Source organism: Homo sapiens, chromosome 9 (genome assembly GCF_000001405.40).
Source record: "Homo sapiens chromosome 9, GRCh38.p14 Primary Assembly".
NCBI classification, from domain to species: Eukaryota; Metazoa; Chordata; class Mammalia; order Primates; family Hominidae; genus Homo; species Homo sapiens.
Window position 1 is genome coordinate 97,300,485 of NC_000009.12, and position 25,603 is coordinate 97,326,087.

Consider the following 25,603-nt stretch of genomic DNA (forward strand, 5'->3'; position numbering starts at 1 on the left):
TTATGGGTTGGTGGACCAGATAACACTAAGTTCATGATGGGCAGCTCAGGGCACATCGTAACTTAGTGGCCCACGCATGATCAAGCATTCAGTTTCTACTAAGTCCCAGTAGCAGGTCAAAAGCTATCTCTTAAAAGAAGATTAGTTATCTGTAGATGATGGTAGTGCCTTGCTCCAAAATCCTAAAGACAGGAGCTGCAATTCACCTGTAGGATGCCAAAGGCTCCCAACAGCGTCCCTCTCTGCTGCTAACACCTCAAGTACCATTGAACCTGCTGGAGCAATGGTACTTGTGGCAGACCAAGTGGCAGACCAGCTTGGACAGCTGCCTGGACCTTTGCAGAACCTTCTCCTGTTTTCAGACCCACTCAAAACTAGCAGCTTTTTGGGCCACTTGGAAAGTGCAGAGTAACATACCTAAATGAAGAATGTGTTGCCTCCAAAATCCAAACAGCCCCACCAGGCATTGTGTCTCTTTCTGGTTGTAGGAAGAGCTAGATGCAACATCTTCCCCTTCACTTTAGAAGGGATAGATTGACGTACCCCACACCACCCAACCCCTAAAAATTTCGCTGAAGTAGAAGTCTTATGAATTATAGTTAGATTTATTTCCCACTTTTCTGACACACAAATGTCTTACCTATAAGTCTAGAGTAGTTGCTACTTCTCATTCATCAGATCCAATCAGTCTAATGTCATTAACGTAATAGACTAGTGTGATATCTTATGGCAAGGAAGGGTGATCAAGATACCACAAAGATGTTCCAGTTCTCCTGGAATCAATGTCAGTTCGGAGCCAGTGTCCAGTAGTCCCTGAAATGTCTGATTATTTCCTTTTCTTCAATACACAGTTACCGTGGTAAAGAGCTGTATGTCCCTTGTGGAAGGCTGAGAGAGAGATTAACAGTACTGTCTAAATTTTCAGTTGTGTCCTTCCTTGAGGAGGCCCAACTTCCCCTTCATTCAAAGGATTTCAAGTGTATAAACAGGCTCAAAACTTGGAATTGATTGAGGAGCCATGATTATTTGTTTTTAGATTCAAATTAGACTTTTGGTGACTTGACCTGGAATTTTTCTGCTTATATGGATCATATAAGAATTTAGTAGACTTCCTATCTATTTCACTTCTAAGAACACTGTAATTAACTAGTCCTACAATATGCTGTGGTCAAGCAAAAGAACCCAGAAAGGTAATGATGTAATTCAGTCTGAGTCTGAAGACCTGAGAACCTGGGAAGCCACTGGTGTAAATGAGTAGCCAACATTATAGGGCTGTGCAATTCAGATAATTCTGATTGTTTTTTTGACTCAGCTATTCATTATGGTAATTTAGACCACCTTGTCTGGGCTGTTGAGCCTCCACTTGACCCCTGCCAGTCCAAAATCCAAATACTCCTATTGCATTTAGGTTTTCCAGTTGAGTGACTGTGTTTCCACTTTAAGGTCTGGCCTACAGAGAAGAGAGATTGCAGAGCTCTTTAAGGATACTGGAGCTCCTCATTTATTTCTCAAAGTATGGGAGAAAAACATGTCTTCTGGAACCTTCGGTGTGGGCGATTAGGTTTTAAATGACAAATTCACGTTAACATTCCAATATCCTTGAGACTTTAAGTCCCTTCTTCTACTTTAAACCAAGAAAGATCAGTCATTTCCAATTTGCTCATCTTTTGATCCATGACTCAGCAAACTAACCAAACAAATTGTTAGTGCTCTTTCTAACTTCTCAAGCTGCAAAATCTCTGCTTAGTGAGCCCATTTAATAAATTCAGTCTGGTTCAGCTTTATGCTCCTTCACCATTATCCCATACCTTTAACATCCATTCCCACACATGTTCTCTGGATCCCTGCTTATATAAATTAGTAAACTCAAGCAGATCTTCTGGAGTGTAGTGTACCTCCTCATGCATCACACTTTGTACCTAACCTTAGGGGCCTGCTGGGACCTGAGTCTAGTTAGAGGTCTAGAGACGGGTAGTGGGGGTAGATCTTGAGGAGAATCATCATTATTATCTTTCATGGTAACTACCTCATATAAGGCCATCATTTCTTCAGACAATGCAGGGTTGAGGCCCTCAGATAGAGGTTGAACAGCTGATACCACTGTGGGTGGGAAGCTATTTCTGTTGGGGGTGGGAAAGCCACTTTTTCTGGGAGTGGGGATACCTCTTCCATTGGCAAAGAAGACTTCAAAATTTAGGAGCTCAGTGTCCCCAGCTTCATCAAAATTTTCTCACACATCCCCATCCCAACGTATAGAACCCTGTTTCCCAATGAAGGCCTGAACTTTTAACTGGACACCCTGGGAGGCTTGGGGTTCAACTTGCTTGTAATTCGTCCAATTGCTGGGATAAGATCCTGTGTCTGATTTTCAGTAATTTCAGTCCTGCATCTACAGGAGATAAGCCTCTCCCTCAGGGCACACCTAGACACTCTTAATTAAGTCATTTATGTGGCTCTTGAGCTTGGAATTCAAATACCTGACTCAGATAGCTTTTCTTTCACTGCTTTATCCAGTAGTGAAAGCAATCAACCAACATAACTATATTTCTTAGTTTTCAAAAAATGTTTGGAAGTGTCATACACAGACTTACTTAGCTCTTTCCTTCTTATAAGTGGTTAATTAGAAGTACCCAATCCAGATATTTTGCACATCTCTATAAATAGTTCACTACATGGACTATCAGTGCTCTCTCTACTACTGGAAATGAAGTCATTAGCATCTTTATGTCTAAACAGATTAGAGAGCCATTTTCAGAAACCCCAAAACCAGTTCAGAAAACTAATCCTTAAAATTCTTTTCCTCTCTTAGTGTCAAAATCTGTATTAGTTAGGGTCCTCCAGAGAAACAGAACCAATAGGATAAGTAGAGAGAGATATATAGATATAGATAGCTAAGAAAAGATTTATTATGGGAGTTGGCTAATATGATTACAGAGGCTGTGAAGTCCTACACTATGTTATAGTCAAGCAAAAGAACCAGTAAAGGTAGTGATGTAATTCAGTCTGAGTCTGAAGACCTGGGAACCTGGGGAGCCGCTGGTGTAAATTCCACAGTCAGAAGGCATGAGAACCAGGATCTCTGATGTCCAAAGGCAGGAGAAGAAGGATGTCCTAGTTTAGAGAGAGAGAGAATTCACCTTCTTTCACCTTATTGTTATACTTGGGCCTTCAAAGGATTGGATGATCACCACTCACATTGGTAAGGTCATTTTTTTTTTTTAATTCAGCCTACTGATTCACATGCTTATCTCTTCTGAAAATAGCCTCACAGATACACCCAGAAATAATGTTTTCTTAGCTATCTGGGTATCCCTTAGCCTAGTCAAGTTGACACATAAAAGTAACCATCACACAAATACTTGGGCAGGGCTGGCTTCCTCTGTTCTTTCTGGTCACAGCAAAAAATGTAACCTCAATGAGAACATTTCTGAACCCCCCCACCCAATGACTTTCTGGCCCCACTCTCAGCACCCTACTATAAAGTGGAGGACTTACACTACCAGATATTGGGACTTAGTTTAAAACTATAGTAATGAAGGCTGTGTGTGCTGCTAGTGCAAAGATAGAAACTAAGAGAAATAGAGAGCCCAACTCAGACCCACACATTTGGATGTTTTATGTATGATGAAAGAGGTGTGCAGAGCAGTAGGGAGAAGACAGTCTTTTCAGTAAGCGGCCCAGGTCAGCTGGTTCTCCATATGGGAAAGAAATGAATCGTGACTCCTAACTCACACTATAAACAGAAACCCATTCCAGGTGGATTGTAAATTTAAATGTGAAAGTTTAAAACAATATTTACAGTAGATAATATCAGAGAATATTTTCATGACCTTGAGACAGGCAAGGATTTCTTAAGCAGGACACAAAGTGTACTGGACATAAAGACAAAAATGGATAAATTGGGACCTATTCAAGTTGTAACATCACTTCATTGAAAGTCACCTTCAAGAGAGTAAAAACGCAAGAACGGAATGGGAATACATATTTGCCAGATTTATGTGAAAAAGCCTCATATTTATGATACGTAACTAACTCCCATAAATTAATAAGAAAAAAGACAATCTGCCAGGAAAATTGGGCAAAAGATTTGACTAGACATTCCACAAAAAGACATCCAGATGTCCAACAAGTATACGAAATGTGTCCACATTGTTACTAATAAGGAAAATGCTAATTAAAACCATAGGATGATACTACCATGTAGTGGCTAAAATAAAAACAGGAGACAATATCAAATGTTGGCAAGGACGTAGGGCAACTGGAACTCTCATACACTGCTGTATGTAAACTGATACATTTTCAAAAATTCTTTGGTAGTATCTCTTAAAGATGAACATACACATATTCTATGACTCAGCAATTCCACTCTTAAATATACACCCAATAAAAATGCCTGCATATGTTCACCATACAAAAGAATGGTCAGAGCAGCATTATTATTGGTAGTCTCCAAATTGAAAAAATCCAAATGTGTATCAATAATAGGATGAATAAAATGGGGTATATATTTTTTAATAATAGGATACTATACAGAAATAAACCATAGACACATTAAAAATATATATATGGGCTTGGCCTGGTGGCTCATGCCTGTAATCCCAGCACTTCAGGAGGTTGAGGCGGAGGATTACTTGAATCTAGGAGTTCGAGGCCAGCGTGGGCCACATAGTGAGACTCTGTCTCAACAAAAAATAAAAATTAGCCAGGTATAGTGGTATATGCCTGTAGTTCTAGCTACTTGGGAGGCTGAAGTGGGAGGATTGTTTGAGCCCAGGAGTCTGAGGTTACAGTGTGAGCTATGATTGTGCCACTGCACTCCAGCCTGGGTGACAGAATGAGACCCCGTCTCAATAAAAAAAAAAAGTATACAACTTACAAACATAATGAAATAAGCCCAACATAAAAGAGTCCATTCTCTATGGTTCCATTTAAATAAAATTTTTAAAGAAGCAAAACCAATTCAGAAGTTAGAATATTTGTTATCCTGGGGGAAGAGAGGGCAGTGACATGAAAGGTACACAAAAGGGGCTTCTGAAGAGTTGGTAATGCTCTGTTTCTTATGGGTACTGCTTACTAGGCACGTTCCTTTCAGATAATTCATTGAGCTATTCACTTATGATTTCTATACTTTTAGATATGTACGCTATGCTTCAACATGCACATCCAATCAGTTGGTTAAATAACTTTTTTTCTGGCTAGTCACAGGTCAGATGGTTCAAGACTTGAATTACAGGGTCTAGATTCATATCCTAGATCTTCCTATCTTGGAGATCTTGGCCAAGTCACTGACTCTGAATTTCAGTTTCTTAATCAGTAAAATGGGTTACTTAAGGCACCCCTCTCATAGTCACTACAGGCATTAAATCTTCTCATTAAATATTTGCCTCTTGTGGTGGTCCTCATTGCTCTGCTTTGTCTGGACTATGCAGAAGACAGACAATAGCCTGGGATAGAGGAAGGAAAAGGATGGGGTCAAGAGACATTTTCAAAGTTAAGAGTGAGAGGGAAAAGATCAAAGATGATGCTGAGCTACAAGAAAAAGATCCAGAGGCCCTGGTGTCATTCTTTCCGTTCCCTATCTCTGGCTTTTTGCCCGTATCTAAACACAGGAGGTGGACTAACCAGATGATCTCTAACTGGTTAGTCTTTCGCTATGATATTATCAGGTTGGGAGGAGAATGGAAATGCCATCCAAAAGGCAAACACGAATTTCCACGTTTGATGCAAACTCAAACACAGTCTCAAAAACTTGGAAGTTAAGGGAGGTAAATTCTCAGTGCTGGGATTATGGGTTATTTTTACTTTCTCCATTGAAGTTTTTCATTTTTTTTTAATTTTTGACAATAAATATGGAGTTTAATCAAAACAAAATCCCATACTTCACATGTCCATGCCTGCTATTTATAGCCATATAATTTTTAAAAAGAAAGAAACCCCTAAATTACAGATGTGCCTGGAACCAGAACCCAGAAAGCATCTGGGTAGGGAAAATAGTTTCTAGTGTTCAAGGCCAAAGCCAGTAGGGCCTCCTTGGATGGGAAAGAGATATGAGACTGCAAGTAATTCCTGGACATTACCTATTTGTTATTGTGTTTTCATCCCTTCCCTCAGTCACCTACACGTTTTCTTTTTCCAGCTAAAATGAATCTAATCTTTGTTACAGTACTTCACCTTGTTAATAAAACCCAGGACTGAAGAATGAGAATAAAAGGGTTTTATACTCACCATTTCTTAATTTCTGATTCTAGTCTGGACAGAACAATCACTCATTCTAGAAAATTGGCATAGGGAGCATTTATTAGCAGTTGTAACATATCACTGCCAAAGGGAGGGATTCTGTAAGGCGGCACTGGGTGTCTCATATGTATGGGAAACCCGAGGCCACGTTCAGTGCCAACCACAAGCATTTTCATCTCTGGCCAGGCAAGCCTTGATCCCTGAATTTTGAGCTCTCAACCTCTTTTAAAATGAGAAAGAGATGGTTTCTTCCAGAGTCTTTCAGCTTCTAACTTACAGGCAAACACTACCGTATGCTGTCCCCCAGCAGAGATTGGTTTTAACCAAGGCAAATAAGTTAGGATGGACTTTGTTGACCGTGATGGCTCAGTGCTACATCTCATATATCCTACCACCTTTCAGAACATTTAATAGTGCTGCTCCTGGCAGCCCTGGGGTTGTAGTCCTTGTAGAGAGGAGGAACTGGCATTGAAAGAAATAGTTGAGTTTCACTACGCCACGTGGGGCGCTCCCATTGCTAAGAGCAATCTCCCCTCCCTGGGAAGAAAAGCGTGGGCGGGGCCGGGGCAGTCCCTCCCCTCCGCGTTGCCTTGGAGACCATGGGCGTCCAGCTGCAGTTGTCGCTGGACCGGCCCTGGCTGCCTTGAGAGGTGCTTTCTGCAGGCGGGGACGCGGCCAGGCCGGACGCAAGGCCTCCCTCCAATCTACCGGGCTCAGGGGGACGGCCAGGGGCTGCTCAGTCTACTTGGCGGGCTAGGGAGGGGGATGGCAGAGGCTGGTTGGGTCTTCTCAGCACACAGTAGGCGCCTAATTAGCGTGACCTGAATCAGGTTACTCTCTCCCTCCAATTCTCCTCCCTGTGTCCCATGGAGGGTGGATTAGGGTCCCGGATGCGAATTCTGCGCCGCATTAGAGTTCCAGTCCCAACCGACACCTTGAGCGCCGTTAACTTTTCCCCGAAGAGCATGGCAGAGTGAAGCACAAGCAATAATCCTGTATTATTCGCGTTCCCAGAGTCCCTTCGGATTTGCGCCATGCGCGGCGGGGAGAACCGGCCTCCTGCTCGAGTTCAGAGCTCATCTGAGGTTAGTTTCATCGTTTCGTTGAAAGTTAAAACCCTAAGTCGACGTTCCCCAGCCGCCTACCCCCCAGCAGAGAGTCCTTCCCCGGGGAGTCCTGCCCTGGGGTGCCGCCTCGAGGCCAGACGTCGTCCCGCCTGGACCTGAACCTGAGTTTGGGACGGGCGATTTCCCAACCTCAGGAATTGGAATTGAGACACCAAAGCCTAGACGCGTTTCCTGGACGACGGCTTCCCGGCAGGGGCATCCAGCCAGCGGCCAAGATGTCGTCAGTGGGGAAGGTGACCCAGGTTCCGAATGGGAAAGCCTACCAGCAGATCTTCCAGGCTGAGGTAGGAGCCGCCCTCTGTCCCGCTTTTCTCCATCCCCCTTCCCTTGCTTTCTTCCAAACTTCCCTCCCTCCCAGGGCTTCCCTACTGGAAATTGAATAAAACAAGGGCTTTGAAATTACTTTGATTTTAAAAATAATTCTTGCTTGTTCTTAAATCGTACCAATACAAAATTAGAATGTCAGTTCTTGAAAATTAGAAAACTTAAATTAAAATTTTAAATGTAAATTACTCAGAAATAGCCTGGATGGAACCACTGGGTGACCTCTGTTTTTCCCATGCATAAAAACATGACTAATTTTTGTATTTAAAAAATAGGTTTCATTCTGTACTAGTGTTTTGAAATCTGCTTTTTCTTCATAACAGTATCTCACAGACCCTTTTCTATGCCCGTGGGCGCCCATGTATTTCACCATACTGAGCAGCTCCCCACTTGTTGACCTAGGACTCCCATAACTGTATTAAAGTAAAGCCCTCTTGACAACAGTGTAGGTTGTTGAAATTGCCTTGTTCTCTCTAAAGCACTGTATAGACAAAACAAGATCTTAAAAGAAACACACAGACCCAAATTCTTCCTTTGAAGTTCTGTACTGCTTATTTAAAAGGGATTTGCATTCCTAATTTAAGCCTTAAATAATTATCTGTAAAACCTCTGGAAATTATAAAAGTATAAAGAAGCCAAAACAACAATTACATCACTCACATGATCCTGCTCTCTCTAAGGCCATTCTTAACTCATGGCATACTTCCCCCAGGGCCTTTTCCTATGCGTTTTAAATTTTGAGATCATACGGTATAGTTTTGGTTATAATTTCTAATTTCTAATTTCTATAATTCTATAATTTCTAATGCATGTAAGTGATATATTTAACCATATATCATCTCCTAAGCATTTCCTCAGGTTATAAAAAATTATTTGTGGGTCTCATCTTTAACAAATGCCTAACATTCCATCAAACAGACATACCATGTTTACTCAGCCAATCCCTATTATTAGTCAGTTCTGTTTTTCCAATTTCTTGTGATTATAAAAAAGGCTGAGATGTTCATCTTGATCTTCATTTAAGGTTCTTAGAAAGAGGCCTTCTTTGAAGTGGCTGAGTGACTGTTACTGGGAGGAGAGCTCTCCTATAGGGATATGACCTGGGGCTGAAGGCCTCCTGAAAAGTACCTTCCTGGGGGCAGCTCTCTGGATGTCTTTCTAGACAGCCACCATCAGCCTGAGAGTGCTAGGAAGTCAGCAGCTCTGACCACTCCCCCATCCTTGGTCCTCCCTGGATTCAGGTGCAGCTGGTCCACTCCCTGGCGGCCACCAGGAAGCGGGCTGCAGAGCGTTCTGTGACCCTGAAGAGTGGCAGGATACCCATGATGAAGAAGGTGGAGACTCCTGAAGGGGAGGTGATGTCTCCCCGACAGCAGAAGTGGATGCACAGCCTCCCCAACGACTGGATCATGGAAAACCCTGTTCTCCACAGGTAGGTCCTGTTGTCCATGCCTCACCCCCATGCACTAGGGTACCTGAGCCTTCAAAAACTCAAAAAGAGCCAGCACAAGATGAGTAGCCTGTAGGAATGAAGTCTCAAGTACCACCCCTAAAGCAGGGAGGCTAATACCTACCTTGCAGGATGGTTTGCTTCTCTCGCCCCCATTCCCCCACTCCCACAGTCATTATTGATTAAGTGCCTAGGACCAGGCACTGGGTATGGGGATCCCACCCTTATGAAACTTGAGACCTCGAAAGTAAATAAATAAGCACATCCCCCCAATGGCAGAAAAGCTCTGATTAAGGGGATGGGGCTATGGGACAGGGGTCAGGAAAGCTCTCTGAGGAGGAGGATCAGCTGAAACCAGAGGGTGCAGTATGGGGACAAGGCTCTGAGAAAGGTGGTCTTGGCCCCCTCCTGAAGGCTGAAGGTAAATGGACCCTGAGAGAGGGCAGGAGATGAGGCTGGGAGCAGCCTTTCAGGCCACAGTCAGTATTTTGAACTTTACTGCAGTGAGCAGCTGATTTGCATTTTTGAAGTCCCTCAGGCAGCTCTGTGCAGAATGTGGGGGGCTTCAAGAAGAGGCAGGAAGGCCAGGGCACAGGACACTGCAGTTGTCCTTGTAACCTTGTTGGTGGCTGTGAGAGGGAAAGTAGCTGTGGGCCTCGGGTGTCTCTTGGAGGCAGAACCCATGAGACCTAGTGATGAATTGGAGGGGAGGAGAGAGCTCCTGAGAGCCCTTGGTCTCTGGCCTGAGTGCTGGGTGAACAGCAGAAATGTATTTTCCTCAGATGAGAGCAGGCGGGGGTCAGGCATGGAGATCAGGAGTTTCTTGTGAACTTCCAAATTCAGAAGTTCCTAAGCATGCCATTTCAGTTCGCTGAGCTCTGACTGTCAGCTATGGGGAAAAGGAAGAAACAGATCTTCCCAGGGTTCTTGAGAGAATGGAGCAGGCGCGGTGCTCCCCTTAGGCACTTTGAGTTCTACACAAGCCATAAACCCTTGCTGGGCCTGGGACTCTGAGATAGAAAGCAGGCCTCCGCTGCCTGTCTTGGTTGTTCCTTTCACCCTCTTTGGGGCAGGGACAGACCCCTTGCTGAGTATAGTTCTCTGCCCTGACCTGGCCTTTGAATTTTCCCAGGAAAGCCACCCCCAAAACTCCTGACCCTCATGCTCTGAACTCCCAACAGATAGAAAAATCCACTGGCCCACCCAAGCCCAGACTCGAGGTCAGTGTTCTCTAGCCCATATCACCCTGCCTGATGCCCCAGGTGGGCATCCAGGGTTACAGGCAGCCTGATGTCCCAGGTGGGAATCTAGAGGAACTACCCATAGGGCCCAGCTCCCTCTAGACACTCTGCAGGGCTAGCAGAGGCCAGACTGGGCTGAACACATGAGTGGCAGAGCCAGGGCACCCTGTCTCCCTCAGGCGTCAAAGCAAAGGGTGCAGGTGTTTGAAGATTCGGCCAGCTAAGGCCAGTCCACCTATGTGCTCATCACCCAGGGCAGACTCCTGGGTGGGTGGATACCAGCCCAGGCCAGGGGGTAAATCACCACTGGTATAAACCAAGCCCCAAGTCCCTGGAGCAAGTGACCAAGAAGCTGGAGTTGACAGCAGGTGTCATCATCTCAGCTCCTACAGGGCTGCCTTGGTCCAGGGGCATTTAGAATGACAAGGTCTGAAAGACCTGTCTCTAGAAGATTGGCCTGGGCCCCATCAGCTGCAGCCCAGGCCCAGCAGCTTCCTCCCTGCTAGGTCTGCATGAGGGCTAAATGAGAAGTTGACTGGAAAGTATTGGACATATGGGGCGCCCAAGGAATAGCAGCGGTTGCTGGGAGCTGCGGGATTTCTATGGTGCTTGCCCCATGGACAGGGCATTCACAGATGCCAGTTCCAAAGCTGATGTCACGTCCACCCTGCTGGTCCTCCCTGTTGAAATAGTTCCTCCTGAAACCCCAGCTCTCTCCTCCCTCACCCAAATTCCATGGGCCTTAGTGTCACAAGGATTGATCTTGGAGTCTCCTCTCTGTTGCATTCTGTGGTTCCTATAAGCCCCATCCGCCTTTCTGGAAAATGAGGTTACCTCAAGTACGTCATAGGATGGGCTGCTGAAGGAGCAAATGAGGATGCATGCCAAGAGCTAGCATGATTTGGCTTCACTGGGCTGCTCGTACCCCTTCTGATCCTCAGTTTCCCCAGGTGGGAAGTGGCTCAGGCTCATCATCCACACTTGACCACCAGAGCCAGAGCAAGCTCCCTGAGGGCAGGGACCCAACCTCTCACCTAGGGACCCACGGTGTCTGTTGGCAGGGAACCCCAGGCGGCGTTTGTTGGGAGCCTGGGCACTGCCTCAGGGCTCTCTGGAATTGGGGTGTGCCTGGTCCATTGCTGCTGCCCACAGTCCCTCTGGAGAACCACCCCTTGGTGCCCTTATGTGCCAGAGCTGCCATGGATGGCATCAGGAGCTGGGACTTCACTCTTCTCTGCTTGTGTCTCAGGGAAAAGGAAAGAGCCAAGAGGGAAAAAGCCCGAGAGAGTGAGAACACCATCGCTGCCCGAGAAGTGCGGGGTCTCATGGATACTATAGGTGAGCCTCCATTCAGCCTCAAGGCAGGCCTGTCCTGGGCCAGGATGAGACCTGGGCAGGAGGTGGGGACGTCTCCTGGCAACTCCTCTGAGGAAGGCCCTGAGCTCCCACTGTGTTCCTCGGCTCAGCCACCCGGAGGGCATTCTCCCTGAGCATCTCAGCCAAGAGTCCTCCCCTGTGCAGAGAGCTGGGGGAGGAGGGGAGCCGCCTGCATGGAGGGCAGTTACTGATGCAAAACAGGTGATTAAAGGATGCCACTCGTTTTCTTGCAGGTTCCCAACAGTATTTCTCATCTGCATTTTCTTCCTTCCTACTGCATTGTCCTAGTTTGACCTTATCCTAATATAGAAACCTTTTTTCTTTATGATTAAAAAAGTAATACACGCTCACTGAAGAAAAACAAAGGAAGGAGAAAAAGAGAAAGTAAAACCTTCCCCTTCACCATGACACCTGTTCTTCTCCAAAGAGAGTCACCAGCCCCCACCCCAACCCACCCCCGGTTAACCCACGTGGCATCCGGCTTTCCACCTGGATAAAGGGGACAGCAGAGCATATGGCAGGAGCACAGACCTGGAAGCAAGTGGCCCAGATCCCTGCTCAGCTGCTGGCCAACTTGGTTCTACAACCCCCCATGACTGAGTTTCCTCACATGTGAAACGAGGCTAGGAATGGAAGCCACCTCTTGGCCTCAGCATGAAGACTAGCTGAGTTTGAACAATACCTACTATGCAGGAAGTGTTGGCAGTTATCATTTCTATATGTATTTGCTTCCATAGAACTTTTTTTAAAAAAACATTCTGTGCATACTATTTTGGAACTTTTTCAGCTCTTAACTGTATATCTGAGGCCTCGGTCCCTCTAGCACTCATGAATCACTGTCATCTTTTCTCTTTTTCCTTAAGCCTCTGCCACCCTGACCTGGCTCTGGGGTCTACCTTCTGAGCCAGGCCTCAGTGTGCAGGGGCTGTCTGCCTGTGCTGCCTTTTCCTGAGAGCTCTGAAGGCAGCCTCATCACCTCTGTTGTTGCTCCGCAGTTCCTGAGAAGATAAGCACCAGCACCTTTCAAAGGCAAGCAGAACACAAGAGGAAGAGCTACGAGAGCGCTCTGGCCAGCTTTCAGGAGGAGATTGCGCAGGTGGGAAAGGTGAGAATCCTCCCTCTCCCTTCTCTTCCCTTCCTGTGCCATTCCAAAGGTGGGTGTGTCATGGCTCCCAGCCTTCCTCCCCCTCTCCAGCAGAGAGGTCCTCAGGGGCTCACAGAGCCTTAGACGACATGGAACCCTCTCTGAGTGCCTGAGTGGCTTGTTATGAGTGTTTGTGGGCACAGGTCCCCATAGTTCTTGGAAAAGCCCTACAGGTCATGTGCTGTTGTTACCCCTTTTGCAGTGAGGCCCAGAGAGTCTCACCTGACTTGGTGCATAAGGGCCCAAGTCAGAACTTCCCTCCAGGTCTGACACCAAAGCCTAGCCTTCGGCCTCCCTGCTCAGTCCTTCTGATGAAGGGCAGAATGGCACACCCCTTGCTGATAGCCCAGCTCTGCTGGGCTCTTATGGACTGCCCCCCATTCAGCTCTCATTCCTCTCCAGAGACCTCATCTCCACACACACTGGTGTCTGGAATGTTCCCTAAACGAGACCAGCCTTTGCCCTTCTGGATTGCCCTGAGCCCCAGATTTCCATTTGTCCCCTTCTCCCTGAGTCTTTTCTGACCTGTGTTGTCCTGCCTTGGATTCCTGGAGCTGGCTCTGTGCCCAAAGCACCAAGAACAGGCTCTCCAGCCGTGTTTCTTCATACGTCCCAACTAGATGCCAGGTCTGCTTTCACCCTTGAGCTCTGTGGCTTTGGTGAAGCCATCTACCTGAGCCTCAGTTTCCTCATCTGAAGTAAACCTGGCATTCTTTCATTTGGCCACGTCTTTAATGAATATTTGTTGAGGGCCAACCGTAGGCTAGGCCCGATGTCAGCAGCCAATTCAAAGACTGTGATGAGGATCAAATGAGCCAAGAAGGAGGGCTCAGCGCAGAGCGTGTGGCGTGGTTGTGAGCTGAGTAGTGAGCCTCAACTCGTTAGGTCTAGGCAATGATCATCATTTTTGAGATAGAACCATGCCTGGCACTTCCCCCATGACAGGGAAGGCTCCCTCCTTCCCAGGGGTGCTGATGCCTTGGCCATCATACCCCTGGCCTGTTGCAGGAAATGGAACCTCTCATCGTGGACACAGGGGGACTTTTTTTGAAGAAGCTGACTGAGTCTGATGAAGAAATGAACCGTCTCTTCCTAAAGGTGGAAAATGACACCAACCTTGAGGACTACACCATCCAAGTAGGGGTCCCTTCGTGGCTGGGCCTGCCCCACCCAGGTCCTGCTTCTTCCCTGCCTCCCACCGGCTCCTAGCCTGACCCAAACTTCTCTGCGTAGGCCCTGCTGGAGCTGTGGGATAAGGTGGCCGGGCGGTTACTGCTCCGGAAGCAGGAGATTAAGGAGCTGGATGAGGCCCTGCACTCGCTGGAGTTCTCCCGAACCGATAAAGTAAGTCGGCTGCAGGTGGGCTGTGTGGTGACTGTCACTTGCCGGGTTTATTAGGCATCCTTCTGTTTCCTTTTAGTTCTCCAGGAAGTGAGCCACTAAGTATGGTGCCTTGTCATTTCTAGCTAAAAAGCGTGTTGAAGAAATATGCAGAAGTCATAGAGAAAACTTCCTACCTCATGCGGCCCGAAGTGTACAGGCTGATAAATGAAGAAGCCATGGTGAGTGGTTTTCCTGTGCAGGGATCAGCCCATGGGAGAAGGGGCAGGACCAGGAACCCAGGGCACCCCGAGCCTGGTGTCTGGTGTCTCAGGAATGGTGGGCTTCTCATCTATAACGTTTCTAAGGGGCTCAGGTGGGCCTCTGAGGTAGAGAAGCAGAGTCCTTGCTATTGTAGTCCTTGCTATCTCTCTTTTCAATAGAGATCTTTCTAAAGTACATTTCATATTTCCCTGACATCTTGAACCAGGCACACCTAATATAGGGCTATCGTCTGGAGCGCTGATGATGTTAATGAGCACCTACTAGGTCATGTCTCAGCAACTGTGTGCAATGCAATAGGCGCTACACTATGGAGTCATCGGGGGGCTACGGTGGTCTCAGGGTGGTTTCCACCTTCATGAGTGATCTGCTCTGCCTGCTATGTCTGGCTTTTCTGCCTCTTCTTGCCTCTCTTCCTACCAGTGGTCTGTGCCCATTGCTGAGCCTGCCTCTTGGCTCTGTCCCCACTGCTTTCCCCTGTCCATGCCCCTAGCACCCCTCCCCACAGCTGCTTTCCTTGGGGTGGAAAACACAAAATTCAAGGTTGTTCATGATGTCTCCAAGGTCAGAGCAAAGTCTAACTCCTCTGCTGCTAGAGAGGACTCCTCTTTTGGCTGCCCAAAGGCACACTGTGGGTTTCCTGGTCTTGTGCAGTGAGCTGAGCTTGCTGGAAAAGGGGCCTCCTGGCAGCACAGTAGGCTGAAAAGAGGACAGTGTTCTGAATCACAGATGGGTCCAGCCCATGTCAGCTCCATGGCGACCCAGATAAAGCACAGGCAAGGAGTGAGCACAGGCCTTTTCCACTGCCCAGATGTGGAAGCTTCTGAAATGACTCAGCCCCTGAGCCTGGAGCTTGCTGCGTCGTTAAATGAAGATAATATAGATGTTCCTCCACTTACGATAGGGTCACATCCCAGTATACTCATCATAAGTAGAAAATGTAGAAAGTCAAAAATGCATTTAACACCTTCATAAACCCATCATAAAGTTGAAAAATCATGTCAAGCCATCGTAAGTCGGGGACTGCCTGTAATACCTGTCAGGACTTGTTGGGAGGATAATAAAAGAGGGTCCAGCTGTGGTAGCTGTCTTCTGAGATCAGCGAGGGCTCCTAAGTTGTGCACATTTTATCCAATAGAAGAGTCAAGGATTTCAGTGTCCCGGATGTGTTTCACTGCTTCCCTTCCTTGTGCTTCTACTCATTATTACAACTTGCATTTGCTACTTGTTCTACCTGCATTTTTCTCATTTATTTTCACAAAATCCCTATGCTATAAATAGCATGAACCCCATCTTACGGCTGTGGATCTGTAGGTTGAGGAAATACTTGCCAGTGCCACCCAGCTAGGAAGTACAGCTAAATCAAGCCTCAGGCTCCACTGAAAAGCATTACTGGAATTTCTAGTCTCTGAGCTTGGCAGGGTTCTCACCCACTGCCCCAGCATACTGCCACCTCCCTGGAGGGCTTTGGGAAATGTGTGGAGGCATTTGGGGCCAGGGAGGATGGGGGAAGTTACTCTCATCTAAGCAGGGGCAAGTATGCTAAAGGGCAAAACAGTGCCATGCAATGGAGGATCATCCCACGCCCATGCCAGGGGTGCCCAGGTGAGAAGCCATGGGAGGACTGCTGAAGAATGTTCTAGCTCTGGCCTCATTTTGCCATTGGGTCTCGGTTCTCCTAACAACCATATGTGGCTCGTCCCTGATGGCACGAGCACTCTGCTTTTGGAAGAAATTTATAAAAAAGAGTAAACACTTAGAGCTCACTGAGTGCCTGCCTCCTTTCACCTTCTTTAACAAACCATCTGAAGTGACCTTGGAGCTGAGCTGAAGCTCATGCAGTCAGGGTCTGTGGTTAAGCCTTCAAGGAAGACCCTTGTCCATGGCTACTCAGTGCCAGGAAGCTTCATCGAGTGCCCACTGACCCCTCAGTCCCCTTCAGGCCCTGCAACCACCCCACTTGGCCCTCACCCTGCACCTCCCCTCTCCAGCCTCCCACTGCTCCTCTCTAACTGAGCCTTGCCCTGACCCGAGAGAGACCCTGCCCTGTCTAGAGCCCTGCCCATCTGTGACCACAGGTCATGAACTATGCCCTGCTGGGCAACCGGAAGGCTCTCGCCCAGCTGTTTGTCAACCTGATGGAGTCCACCCTGCAGCAGGAGCTGGACAGCCGCCACCGCTGGCAAGGCTTGGTGGACACCTGGAAGGCTCTCAAGAAGGAGGCCCTGCTGCAGAGTTTCAGGTCAGTGCCGCCCACACAGCTCCTTCTCCAGCCCACCAGGGGGGCTGGCAAAGGGTAGGGGCGGCATTCTCCCTCACTTTTTGCCATTACTTAAAAATGCTGCTGTTTCTCTCTGCTCTTTTTAAAGTTAGAAATAGATAAAGGTATAAAGAATAAATTAAAAATCACCACTAATCTCTCCCCACAGTGAGAAGCACAGCAAATATTTTGGTATATTTTCTCCCAGGCTCTTTTAGATCCATAGAGTATATGCAGTTTCATATTTTATTCATGAACCTTGCTTCATGACCATTCTCTGAGCTCCATACAGCTGGAAAACATTCATCCAATTATCTGTATAATTTCCACTCTTTATTATCACTCATAACCCTGTGGACACTGGGCCTGAACAAGTGGACATCCTTCAGGCAAACACTTCCCAACTCTTGGGGAGCGTGTTTCCTCCCTCCCATGGGAGGAGGTGTGAAGAGAGGTCCCTTGTCCATGCTTCTTCTGCCAAGTGTCACTTTTGCTGTGGATGAAGGAAAAGTGTACCAAGGCCTACCTCCATCTTGCCTTTCCATGTGACCTTGACCAAGCCCTTGAACATTCGGAATCTGTCTCTTCCTATGCAAAACAGGCATCCTAATGGACCTGTGACAGAGTTTCAGTGATCCAACCAGATACTGCATGGAAAGTGCCTATCTGGGCCTGGCACCTGGAAGCTGTTATAAATGCCAAACATCATCAACAGTGATAGCAATGGCTGCCGTTTACTGGGCATTTCCCATGAGCCAAGCACAGTGCTAGGGGGCTTGCTTGCATCATTTTACTGAGTGCCCACAAGTGCCAACGAGAAAGGCACTATCATGAGTTCCATTTTACAGAAGAAGAAACTGAGGTTCAGAGTAGGAGAAGGACTTGACCAAAGTTACAGAGCAGGCAGGCGGTGGTCAGGACCCCATCAAATCTGAGCCTGCTGGTCTCATGCTGTTGGTGCCAGAGCTCCATTGACCTGACGATCCCTCCATTCTTTCCTCCATTCCTCTGTCCCCGCTTTCTCCCACCCACCCTCTGTCCCTCCTTTCTTTAGGGTCCTAGAGAAGAGGCAAAGTCTGGGGAGGAAGGGGCTGGGGGTGGTGTTAGGGAAGGAGTGCTGAGGCTCTGAATGCTGTCACCATGGTTCTCTTTCCCTCTCTCACTCCTGCCCTGCTCCTCCTCTCCCCTTTATGGTGCCAACATGTCTGGCCACCAGTGAGTTCATGGCCAGTGAGAGTATCCATACTCCCCCGGCTGTGACGAAGGAGCTAGAGGTCATGCTGAAGACCCAGAACGTCCTGCAGCAAAGGCGGCTGAAGCATCTCTGCACCATCTGGTATGGGCAGGAGGGGCGGCCCAGGAGGGGTGCTTCTTGGGGTGCAGTGAGGGAGGCAGAAGTGGCCTGCAGTCTGTCCCCCAAGGCATCCTTCAGACTAAGCAGACCAACTCCCAGCTCTCTGGCCCTGGGCTGGCCACCTGGACCATTTCAGCCCCACTCACAAGAAAGGCCATGGCCCATTTGCTGCAGGAAGAAACTTAGTGTAGCTGCCAAGCAACTTGAAAGAAACAATGAACGGGGGTGAGGAAGGAGCAGGCACAGATCAGAGCACGCAGGAACTGTGGCCAGGTGGAGGGATTTGGACCTTTTTCTGAGGGCACTGGGGAGCAGAGTGGCTCCATGAGCTTTGCAGTTTGGAGGTATGTGTCAGAGGCATCTGACACTGGAGGCTGGAGGCACCTGTCGGAGGCTGTGGACACTCTCCTCAGATGTGGGTCCAACCAGCCCTGATTTCAGTTTCATAAGAAAGCTATTCAGTGGGGTGCCCACTGAGTGTTCTAGATCCAGCTGGCCAGCCCAGGGCCAGAGAGCTGGGAGTTGGCCTGCTTAGTCTGAAGGTGAGGTGAGGGGAAGAAGCACATTAGGAAAAATAGCTAATGCATGCTGGGCTTAATACCTAGGTGATGGGTTAATAGGTACAGCAAATCACCATGGCACACATTACCTATGTAACAAACCTGCACATCCTGCACATGTACCCTGGAACTTAAAATAAAAATAAAAATTTAAAAAAGAATTTGGTGTCCTTTTTTTAACTTTTATTTTAGATTCAGGGGTACATGTGCAGGTTTGTTATATAGGTAAATCACGTGTTGTGGGGTTTTGGTGTACAGATTATTCTGTCACCCAGGTAATAAGCATAGTACAAGATAGGTAGTTTCTCCATCCTCTCCCTCCTTCCACCCTCCACCCTCAAGTAGGCCCCAGTGTCTGTTTTCTTCTTTATGCCCATATGTATTCAAAGTTTAGCTCCCACTTGTGAGAAGCTGTGGTATTTGGTTTCCTGTTCCTGTGTTAGTTCATGTAGGATAACGGCCTCCAGCTCCATCCATGCTGCTGCGAAGGCCATGATCTCATTCTTTTTTTATGACACTATTTTTAATGACTTCAGAAGAGGATTTGCTGTACTTAGTTTTCTACTGTTGATGTGAAGGTTTTTAAATCATCATGTGTGTTTATGAACAGCATTGTTAAGTGAACATCTTAATACATAAACTTTATGTGCATTCTATAATGCCATCTCAGATTAAGTCCCAGAAGGAGGCTTCCTTGGTCAAGGGATGTGAACAGTTTGTTTTTTCCCCTGGAAAAATTATGTTCTTTTCTTATCTAAGTAACAAATTCGTTACTTAGAATTTGTTAATTAAAAGACCTTTCAGCCATGTCATGTTTTGGCACCAGGAAATCCCCAGCAGTTCCCTTTGTTCTTCAGTGTTTAAATCCATGATTTTCTGGAGCTATGTTCCTTGAAGATGCTACCCATTTTGGTGAGTAAACGGTTTGTTCCTGTGTGGCTTACTTGCTGTATCTTCCTTCCCAGTGACCTCCTGCCCCCCAGTTACAGCAAAACTCAGCTGACTGAGTGGCATTCTTCCCTCAACTCCCTGAACAAGGAGCTAGGTGAGTGACGTCTGCAGGACTCCACCTGCATTTCTCCAGAACTGTTTAAGCAGTTGCTTTGCTGAAGCTCAGCCAAATGAGTGGCGCCGCCATCATGGGGAGGAGGGATGGGGGTGTGGCAGGAAAAGTGAGCTCTGAGGGCTCAAAAGGCCCCCCTCCCTTCTAAGGCCTCCCCTCCTCAGTGCCCAGCCTGCAGCTACACTAGCCGCACCCTATGACCCCTGACCCCTGACCCAAGCATGGAGACAGAGAGATGGCTCTGATACCCTCTTTGAGGAAGGCTCAGAGGCATGCCCCAAGAGTGTGAGGTGGAGCACATAGTATTGATGCCCAGCTCTGCTCCTCCCAGGCTGTGTGACCTTGGGAAAATCAGGGCCTCTGGTAGCCTCAATGTCCTCCTCTGTAAAATAGGGATGGCAAGAGGAGTAATAATGGTCCCTACTTGTGGGGTGGATGTCCAGTGGTAGTCCAGTGCCTGGCTTACACAGAGAATCCTCAATCACAAATGGTGATGTTTCAAAATGCTCTATAATAAGGGCAGTCAGGCTGTAGCGTGTGTGCTGACTGCTGGTTTTGGAACTAAGTGTTGTTAGACCCCCAACTGCCTCGTTTGTTGATGTATTGTGTGGCTGTTTTCACTGTAAATGGCAGAGATGAAAGCAGATAGCCCCTGACTTAGGATGGTTCAACTTGGGACTTTTCGACTTCATGGTAGTGTGAAAGTGATACACATTCAGCAGAAACTGTACTTCAGATTTTGAATTTTGCTCTTTTTCTGGGGGCTGTGGTGCCTGGATACGTGGTGTGATACTCCCTGGCAATGCTGGGCAACGGTGACAAGCTGCAGCTCCCAGTCAGCCCCCCAAGATCATGAGGGTAAACAAGTGTACTCTGTTGCCAGATGATTTTGCCGAACTGTAGGCTAATGTATGTTTTCTGAGCACATTTAAGGTAGACTAGGCTAAGCCATGATGTTTGGTAGGTTAGGTATATTAAATGCATTTTCAACTGAAGATATTTTCAGCTTATGGTGGATTTATTGGGACATAACCCCATTGTAAATAAAGGAACATCTGTAGTTACAACTGAGACTGTATGAGGTTTGCCACGACTTGCTCTAGAAGATATGTAAAAAGTTTTTCATCTCCTTAGAGGATAACAACAATCTAGTGAGGTCAGTGGTGTCATTGTCCTCTTGTAGTAAGAGAAGGGTTTAGTGGCACAGAGAGGTGAAGTATCCTGCCCAAGGTCACACAGCCAATGAAGTGTCACAGCTAGACTTAGCCTGGGTACTTTGGCTAGTAGTACCTGCCATTGCTTCTAGGGCTCTCAGGTTTATAATACTAAGAGTGTTTCTGTATGAGCCACAGGACCCTAAATAATAGCAATGGCTGCCATTCATTCAGTGCCTCCTACAGACAGGCATTGTGCTGGGCCCTGGCATTCAGTAGCTGGCTCTGCCCTCCGGCACTTCCAGTCCAGAGCAGAAGTCAGAGCAAGTGGAGAATGAACAGGTCCCCAGCCATGGGAGCCACAGTTAGGGACACAGCTGGTTCAGGATCGTGGAAACATTGACAAGGAAGTATCAAGGAAGTGGTTGAGAACTGCAAGGGAGGTAAGAGTCAGCCAGGCCAAGAGGGAGGAGGCATTCCAAGCAGGGATACAGTGTACAGGGCCCCGGAGGCAAGACAGGGCTGGGGCCTTTGGAAACAGGGAGGGGAGGCTGGAAGATGCAAAGCAGCTGGACTCTGCTGGCCACGTGGGCTGCATGTGGAAGTCTGGGCTTTATCCTGAGGGCAGTGGGAACTCAGTGGAAGGTTCTGAGCTGGGGGTGATGATGTCAGGGGGCGCAAATGGCCCAGAGGGATGCAGTAGTGGAAGCAGGGGGACCTGGGAGAGCCCATCACAGTGGCCTCACAGAAGGGTGTGGATACCTTGGCCTAGGAACTAGCCCTGGGGACAGGAAGAAGCAGATTTAGAGCTTCTTTTCATCAGTTCTAGCATCTGTCAACCCTCCCAGGTATCCTAAATCTATACCTAGCTGCCATCCCCCTGCCCTCCTCCCCAGCCCTGGACAAAGAACAACCACCACAAAATCTCTGTGTGGTCTTTCAGTTTCTAGAAATTGCCAGCAGCACTAAACCAGAGTTGCTTATCCTAGACATCAGAGTCACACTGAGTTTATTATAAGCTGGGAAACTGAAGGGAGGAGAAATAGAGAAAATAAATAAAAAAGCCAGCTTCTGTGCATTCTGCTAGTGCATTCCGTTTTTCAGGGATGAACCACAGATAGGATCAGTAAATGCTCATTGATCTCCACTCTCATTACTGGTTTACAACTTGGTGCAGTTTCCCAAAAGGAATTTCACCAGCCCTGAAACCGAGTCAAGAATTAGGGCCAGAATGGATTCAGAACAGATAAGGACAAGCTCTTCATTTGATATCCTTATCTTGGGATGTCAGGAACTTTGTAAGGGGACCCCAGCCCCTGATCTCAATCGGGACCACTGATCTTCACCTAAATAAATGTTGCTGTGGAGGCATTTTGCTCCTTTGCAAAGGGGACACTCCCCTTTCTAATCTTCTCTTCCTTCTGGACTGATTTGCTTTGTTTTCTGCCCATGGAGACACCTACCACGTGGACTGCATGATGCGGATCCGCCTGCTGTATGAGAAGACATGGCAGGAGTGCCTGATGCATGTGCAGAATTGTAAGGTGGGCACCCTTCCTGCAGGCCTGAGAAGAGGAATCCTGGGCAGGACCTGAAGTGCCTTCCCTGGCCCCATACCCACTGCCTTCCCCTCCCCAGCTATGTCCCCACTTCACACCCACACACCCTTTAGCCTCCATCCAAGCTTTTCTTCCTCATGGAAGAAAATGGCATGGCTTCATAGCCCCAATGCCTGGTGCTCACTGGTCTCTGGGCATTCTGAAGGTGTTCCTTCTGCCCAGATCCCCTCCCCAGCTATCCCTGCCATCTCTCAGGTTTTAACCCATCACCTCCTCCAGGAAGCCCATGTAAGATGAAGTGTGCGCTCTCAGATCACCTCAGACTTCACCCTTGACTCTCTGTCGTACACAGCACTGGGCGTTGTTTATGAATGGAGGTCATGTCCTGGGGGTTATTGCAATGCGCCCCCTTCATAGATAGGCCTGGCCCCACTTTCCCCTGCACCCTGCCCACTGCATAACAGAGTGAGACAGTAAACTCGTTCCCAAACCCAAGCACGACTGTGACTTGTTCTCTGGGTTAGGGGAACTATTGAGTCAGAATGTCCCTTCCTGCCTCCTTGGTAAGACTGTAAGTGATGCCCCCACCCCCAAAGCTTAACTGTTGTGAAGCATGTTCGGCTGAGAGCACCACTTGGGGAGCCTCCCGAGAGCTCCTGCATGCCTCTCCAGCCAGCTTATGCCTGGCCCTCCAGACCCTAAGGGGAACAGAATTCATGGGGTGCAGGGCCCTTCACCTGGAGCTCAGGTCTGACTTGTGCAACGCTGAGGCCTGTAGGATGCAGCTGATGCCTGTGGGGACCTCAGTCCTAAGCCAGGCTCTGCCTTGTCCCACACACTCCAGAAGCAGCTGCTGGACTGGAAAGCCTTCACTGAGGAGGAGGCAGAGACCCTGGTGAACCAGTTCTTCTTCCAGATGGTGGGAGCACTCCAGGGCAAAGTGGAGGAGGACCTGGAGCTCTTGGACGTGCGTGCTGGGGACTGTTCCACTGGGGAGCTGAGGTGGGGTTGGGGGTCCCCGGGGTTGCTGGGCTGTAGGGAGAGTCCAAGAACTCCAACTTGCATGTTCCTAGTGTGTCCGCTCACCCTTGTCAGCCCCTCTCAGAGTAGCCCCCTTACGCTGGCCACTCCAAGCTCACTCACCGGACTCCTCCCAGCCACCCACTGACATGGGTGCTGCGCAGAACTCCATGCCATGAGCACTCCCTGGCCATTGTTGACCCTGGGCACTGAAGGGCTGTGGAGGCACAATAAGCCCCCAGCCCAAGACACGTGTTATCTTGAACCAGGGTTGGCTCATGTTTTCTGTGAAGGGCCAGATGGTGACTATTTTAGGCTCTGTGGGCCATCAGGTCTCTGACGCACCTTGTCAGCTCCACCAGTGCCACACAAAAGCAGCCCTAGGCCATGCAGAAACAAATGGCATGGCTGTGTTCCAATAACTATTGATGGACACTGAAATTGGAATTGTATGTAATTTTCATCTCATTAAATATCTTCTTTTGATTATTTTCCAGCCATTTTAAAACTGGAATATCTGTGTGTAGCTCACAGGACCAAACAAAAACAGGTAGAGGGCCAAATTTAGTCTACAGGTGGCAGCTTGCCCACCCCTGGCCCAGATGAGGGCATAAGACACGTACATTTTTTTAAAAGGTGGGTGGTGTGGAGGATTTCACAGCAGGTGTGGTGTTTGGCCCAGATGCCATGAGTGAGGGAACTCCACAGAAGGAAAGATGCCCAGGCCAGTGTTGCTGTGGCCTCCTGAGTGCCCAGCCTGGTTTTTAGGAATGGCCCAAACTCCATCTTCTTCCTGTCAGAGACTTTTGTGGAGCACAGGATATGTCTAGAGATGGGACTTGAGGGTCAGCAAGACCAAGGGCAGGGCCTTGGGCAGACCTGAAACGCTGCCCTAGGGAGGGAGGACCAAGAGCACAGGTGTGGCCTAGAAGTTGACCTTGAGGGACGGTGTCTGGGCAATACTGTTCAGTCGTTAGAGACAGGGGGTCCCACAGGTGGGCCCTCTTCTTGGCCCTGGGACTGTCAGCCCTTAAGTCCCTTCTCTGGGCTCTGCCACTGCAGAAATCCTTCGAGACTCTGGCAGATCAGACAGAGTGGCAGAGTTCACACCTCTTCAAGTATTTCCAGGAGGTGGTACAACTGTGGGAGGCACACCAGAGCGAGCTGTTGGTGCAGGAGCTGGAGCTGGAGAAGAGGATGGAGCAGCACCGGCAGAAGCACAGCCTGGAGAGCCAGGTGAGACCCACACCCGGGGCTCCATGTTTCACACCACAAACAGCAATGAACTCAAACAGATCCTTGACCCAAATGGAGAACCTTAAGCTATGAAATTTGTGCAGATGGGGACATTGAGGCTCACGTTGGTCATGGGATCAGATGGGAGTAGCAGAAATCTCCTGGAACCAAATGTGTCTCTAAGAGCATGCATGAGAGACAGACAGATGGTTCAAGTGAGGAGACGATTAAAGGATGGTATCACGAATCACACACTTTATTGCCATTGAAAGAGAATTTTTTCATAGGTTCACAATGCTTAAAGAGGGGGAGAATAACATGAACCAACCTCAAAAGGAATACATCCACAGGGAGTAGACAAGGTACTTTAGGCACATTGTGAGCTGCAAAGCTATTAAAGTCTAGTTGTTCAATAAGGATGGATGCAGGCTTCCATGGGAAGTCTAATAAAAGCTTCAGGTGTGCCTTTCTATGTGCGGTTTCTCAGGAGAAACTGGCTTGCAAGCGAACACAGTGGACATCTGTGATGGCACATAGGTCCCTGGAAGCCAGAGGGTAGTGCCGGTGCTGGTGGCATGGCTTCATAGCCCCAGTGCCTATCACAGCCTGAGCTCTCTCTCATTCAAAGAAGCCACTGACAGAGTGAAACCTGCCTCAGCCTAAGCTCTTGAAGTGTCAAACTCTTGAGTATTTCGAAGTCCAGTAGTTAAGGTTAACTCACATATGGGGGGCTGTTAAGGGTGACATCACATTCCCAAGGTGAGTGGGGGGAATAACTCCAAGTTCTCCTATATGGGGTCTGATAAGACATCACATTCTGAAAGAAAAAGGGGAAGACACTCCAAGTTCTTATTACAGACAAACATGTCATTCATGTAGCAAATTGTGCACGTGT

The 25,603-nt window shown here is 48.0% G+C and overlaps 1 protein-coding gene and 1 long non-coding RNA gene across 5 annotated transcripts in view, besides 5 other annotated features; both read left to right on the forward strand.

The window, feature by feature from the left end:
• The window catches only part of SUGT1P4-STRA6LP-CCDC180 (SUGT1P4-STRA6LP-CCDC180 readthrough), a 138,870-nt gene that overhangs the window by 62,059 nt on the left and 51,208 nt on the right, over positions 1-25,603 (forward strand). For 2 of the 3 annotated variants that reach the window (NR_036528.1, NR_036527.1), the window contains exons 15-28: positions 7,252-7,322; positions 7,499-7,648; positions 8,930-9,120; positions 11,629-11,717; positions 12,752-12,861; positions 13,909-14,037; positions 14,134-14,244; positions 14,367-14,462; positions 16,581-16,744; positions 17,979-18,098; positions 19,642-19,721; positions 22,349-22,437; positions 23,297-23,419; positions 24,535-24,708. This is a non-coding gene — a long non-coding RNA (SUGT1P4-STRA6LP-CCDC180 readthrough). The remainder of the gene's footprint in view (positions 1-7,251; positions 7,323-7,498; positions 7,649-8,929; positions 9,121-11,628; positions 11,718-12,751; positions 12,862-13,908; positions 14,038-14,133; positions 14,245-14,366; positions 14,463-16,580; positions 16,745-17,978; positions 18,099-19,641; positions 19,722-22,348; positions 22,438-23,296; positions 23,420-24,534; positions 24,709-25,603) is intronic. The other variant, NR_036529.1, reaches the window with a different exon arrangement.
• Positions 6,643-6,937: a silencer, noted in NCBI's record as "tiled region #563; HepG2 Repressive non-DNase unmatched - State 24:Quies". NCBI's record gives its function as "represses a minimal TATA promoter and a strong SV40 promoter by Sharpr-MPRA in HepG2 cells {active_cell/tissue: HepG2}" and the evidence as "EXISTENCE:reporter gene assay evidence [ECO:0000049][PMID:27701403]".
• Positions 6,643-6,937: an enhancer, noted in NCBI's record as "tiled region #563; K562 Activating DNase unmatched - State 8:EnhW". NCBI's record gives its function as "activates a minimal TATA promoter and a strong SV40 promoter by Sharpr-MPRA in K562 cells {active_cell/tissue: K562}" and the evidence as "EXISTENCE:reporter gene assay evidence [ECO:0000049][PMID:27701403]".
• Positions 6,643-7,380: a biological region, named in NCBI's record as "Sharpr-MPRA regulatory region 563".
• Positions 6,853-25,603, forward strand: part of CCDC180 (coiled-coil domain containing 180) — a 71,415-nt gene continuing 52,664 nt past the window's right edge. Inside the window, exons 1-15 of one of the 2 annotated variants that reach the window (NM_001348010.4) lie at positions 6,853-7,067; positions 7,252-7,322; positions 7,499-7,648; positions 8,930-9,120; positions 11,629-11,717; positions 12,752-12,852; positions 13,909-14,037; positions 14,134-14,244; positions 14,367-14,462; positions 16,581-16,744; positions 17,979-18,098; positions 19,642-19,721; positions 22,349-22,437; positions 23,297-23,419; positions 24,535-24,708. In NM_001348010.4, coding sequence (NP_001334939.2) covers positions 7,580-7,648; positions 8,930-9,120; positions 11,629-11,717; positions 12,752-12,852; positions 13,909-14,037; positions 14,134-14,244; positions 14,367-14,462; positions 16,581-16,744; positions 17,979-18,098; positions 19,642-19,721; positions 22,349-22,437; positions 23,297-23,419; positions 24,535-24,708 — 1,536 coding nt within the window. In that variant the 5' untranslated portion in view covers positions 6,853-7,067; positions 7,252-7,322; positions 7,499-7,579. Of the gene's footprint in view, positions 7,068-7,174; positions 7,323-7,498; positions 7,649-8,929; positions 9,121-11,628; positions 11,718-12,751; positions 12,862-13,908; positions 14,038-14,133; positions 14,245-14,366; positions 14,463-16,580; positions 16,745-17,978; positions 18,099-19,641; positions 19,722-22,348; positions 22,438-23,296; positions 23,420-24,534; positions 24,709-25,603 lie in introns of those variants that run through there. The other variant, NM_020893.6, reaches the window with a different exon arrangement.
• Positions 6,880-7,380: an enhancer, noted in NCBI's record as "H3K4me1 hESC enhancer chr9:100069646-100070146 (GRCh37/hg19 assembly coordinates)". NCBI's record gives its function as "activates a minimal SCP1, AML or CMV promoter by ChIP-STARR-seq in naive H9 embryonic stem cells {active_cell/tissue: H9 hESC(naive)}" and the evidence as "EXISTENCE:reporter gene assay evidence [ECO:0000049][PMID:30033119]".
• Positions 11,605-12,105: an enhancer, noted in NCBI's record as "H3K4me1 hESC enhancer chr9:100074371-100074871 (GRCh37/hg19 assembly coordinates)". NCBI's record gives its function as "activates a minimal SCP1, AML or CMV promoter by ChIP-STARR-seq in naive H9 embryonic stem cells {active_cell/tissue: H9 hESC(naive)}" and the evidence as "EXISTENCE:reporter gene assay evidence [ECO:0000049][PMID:30033119]".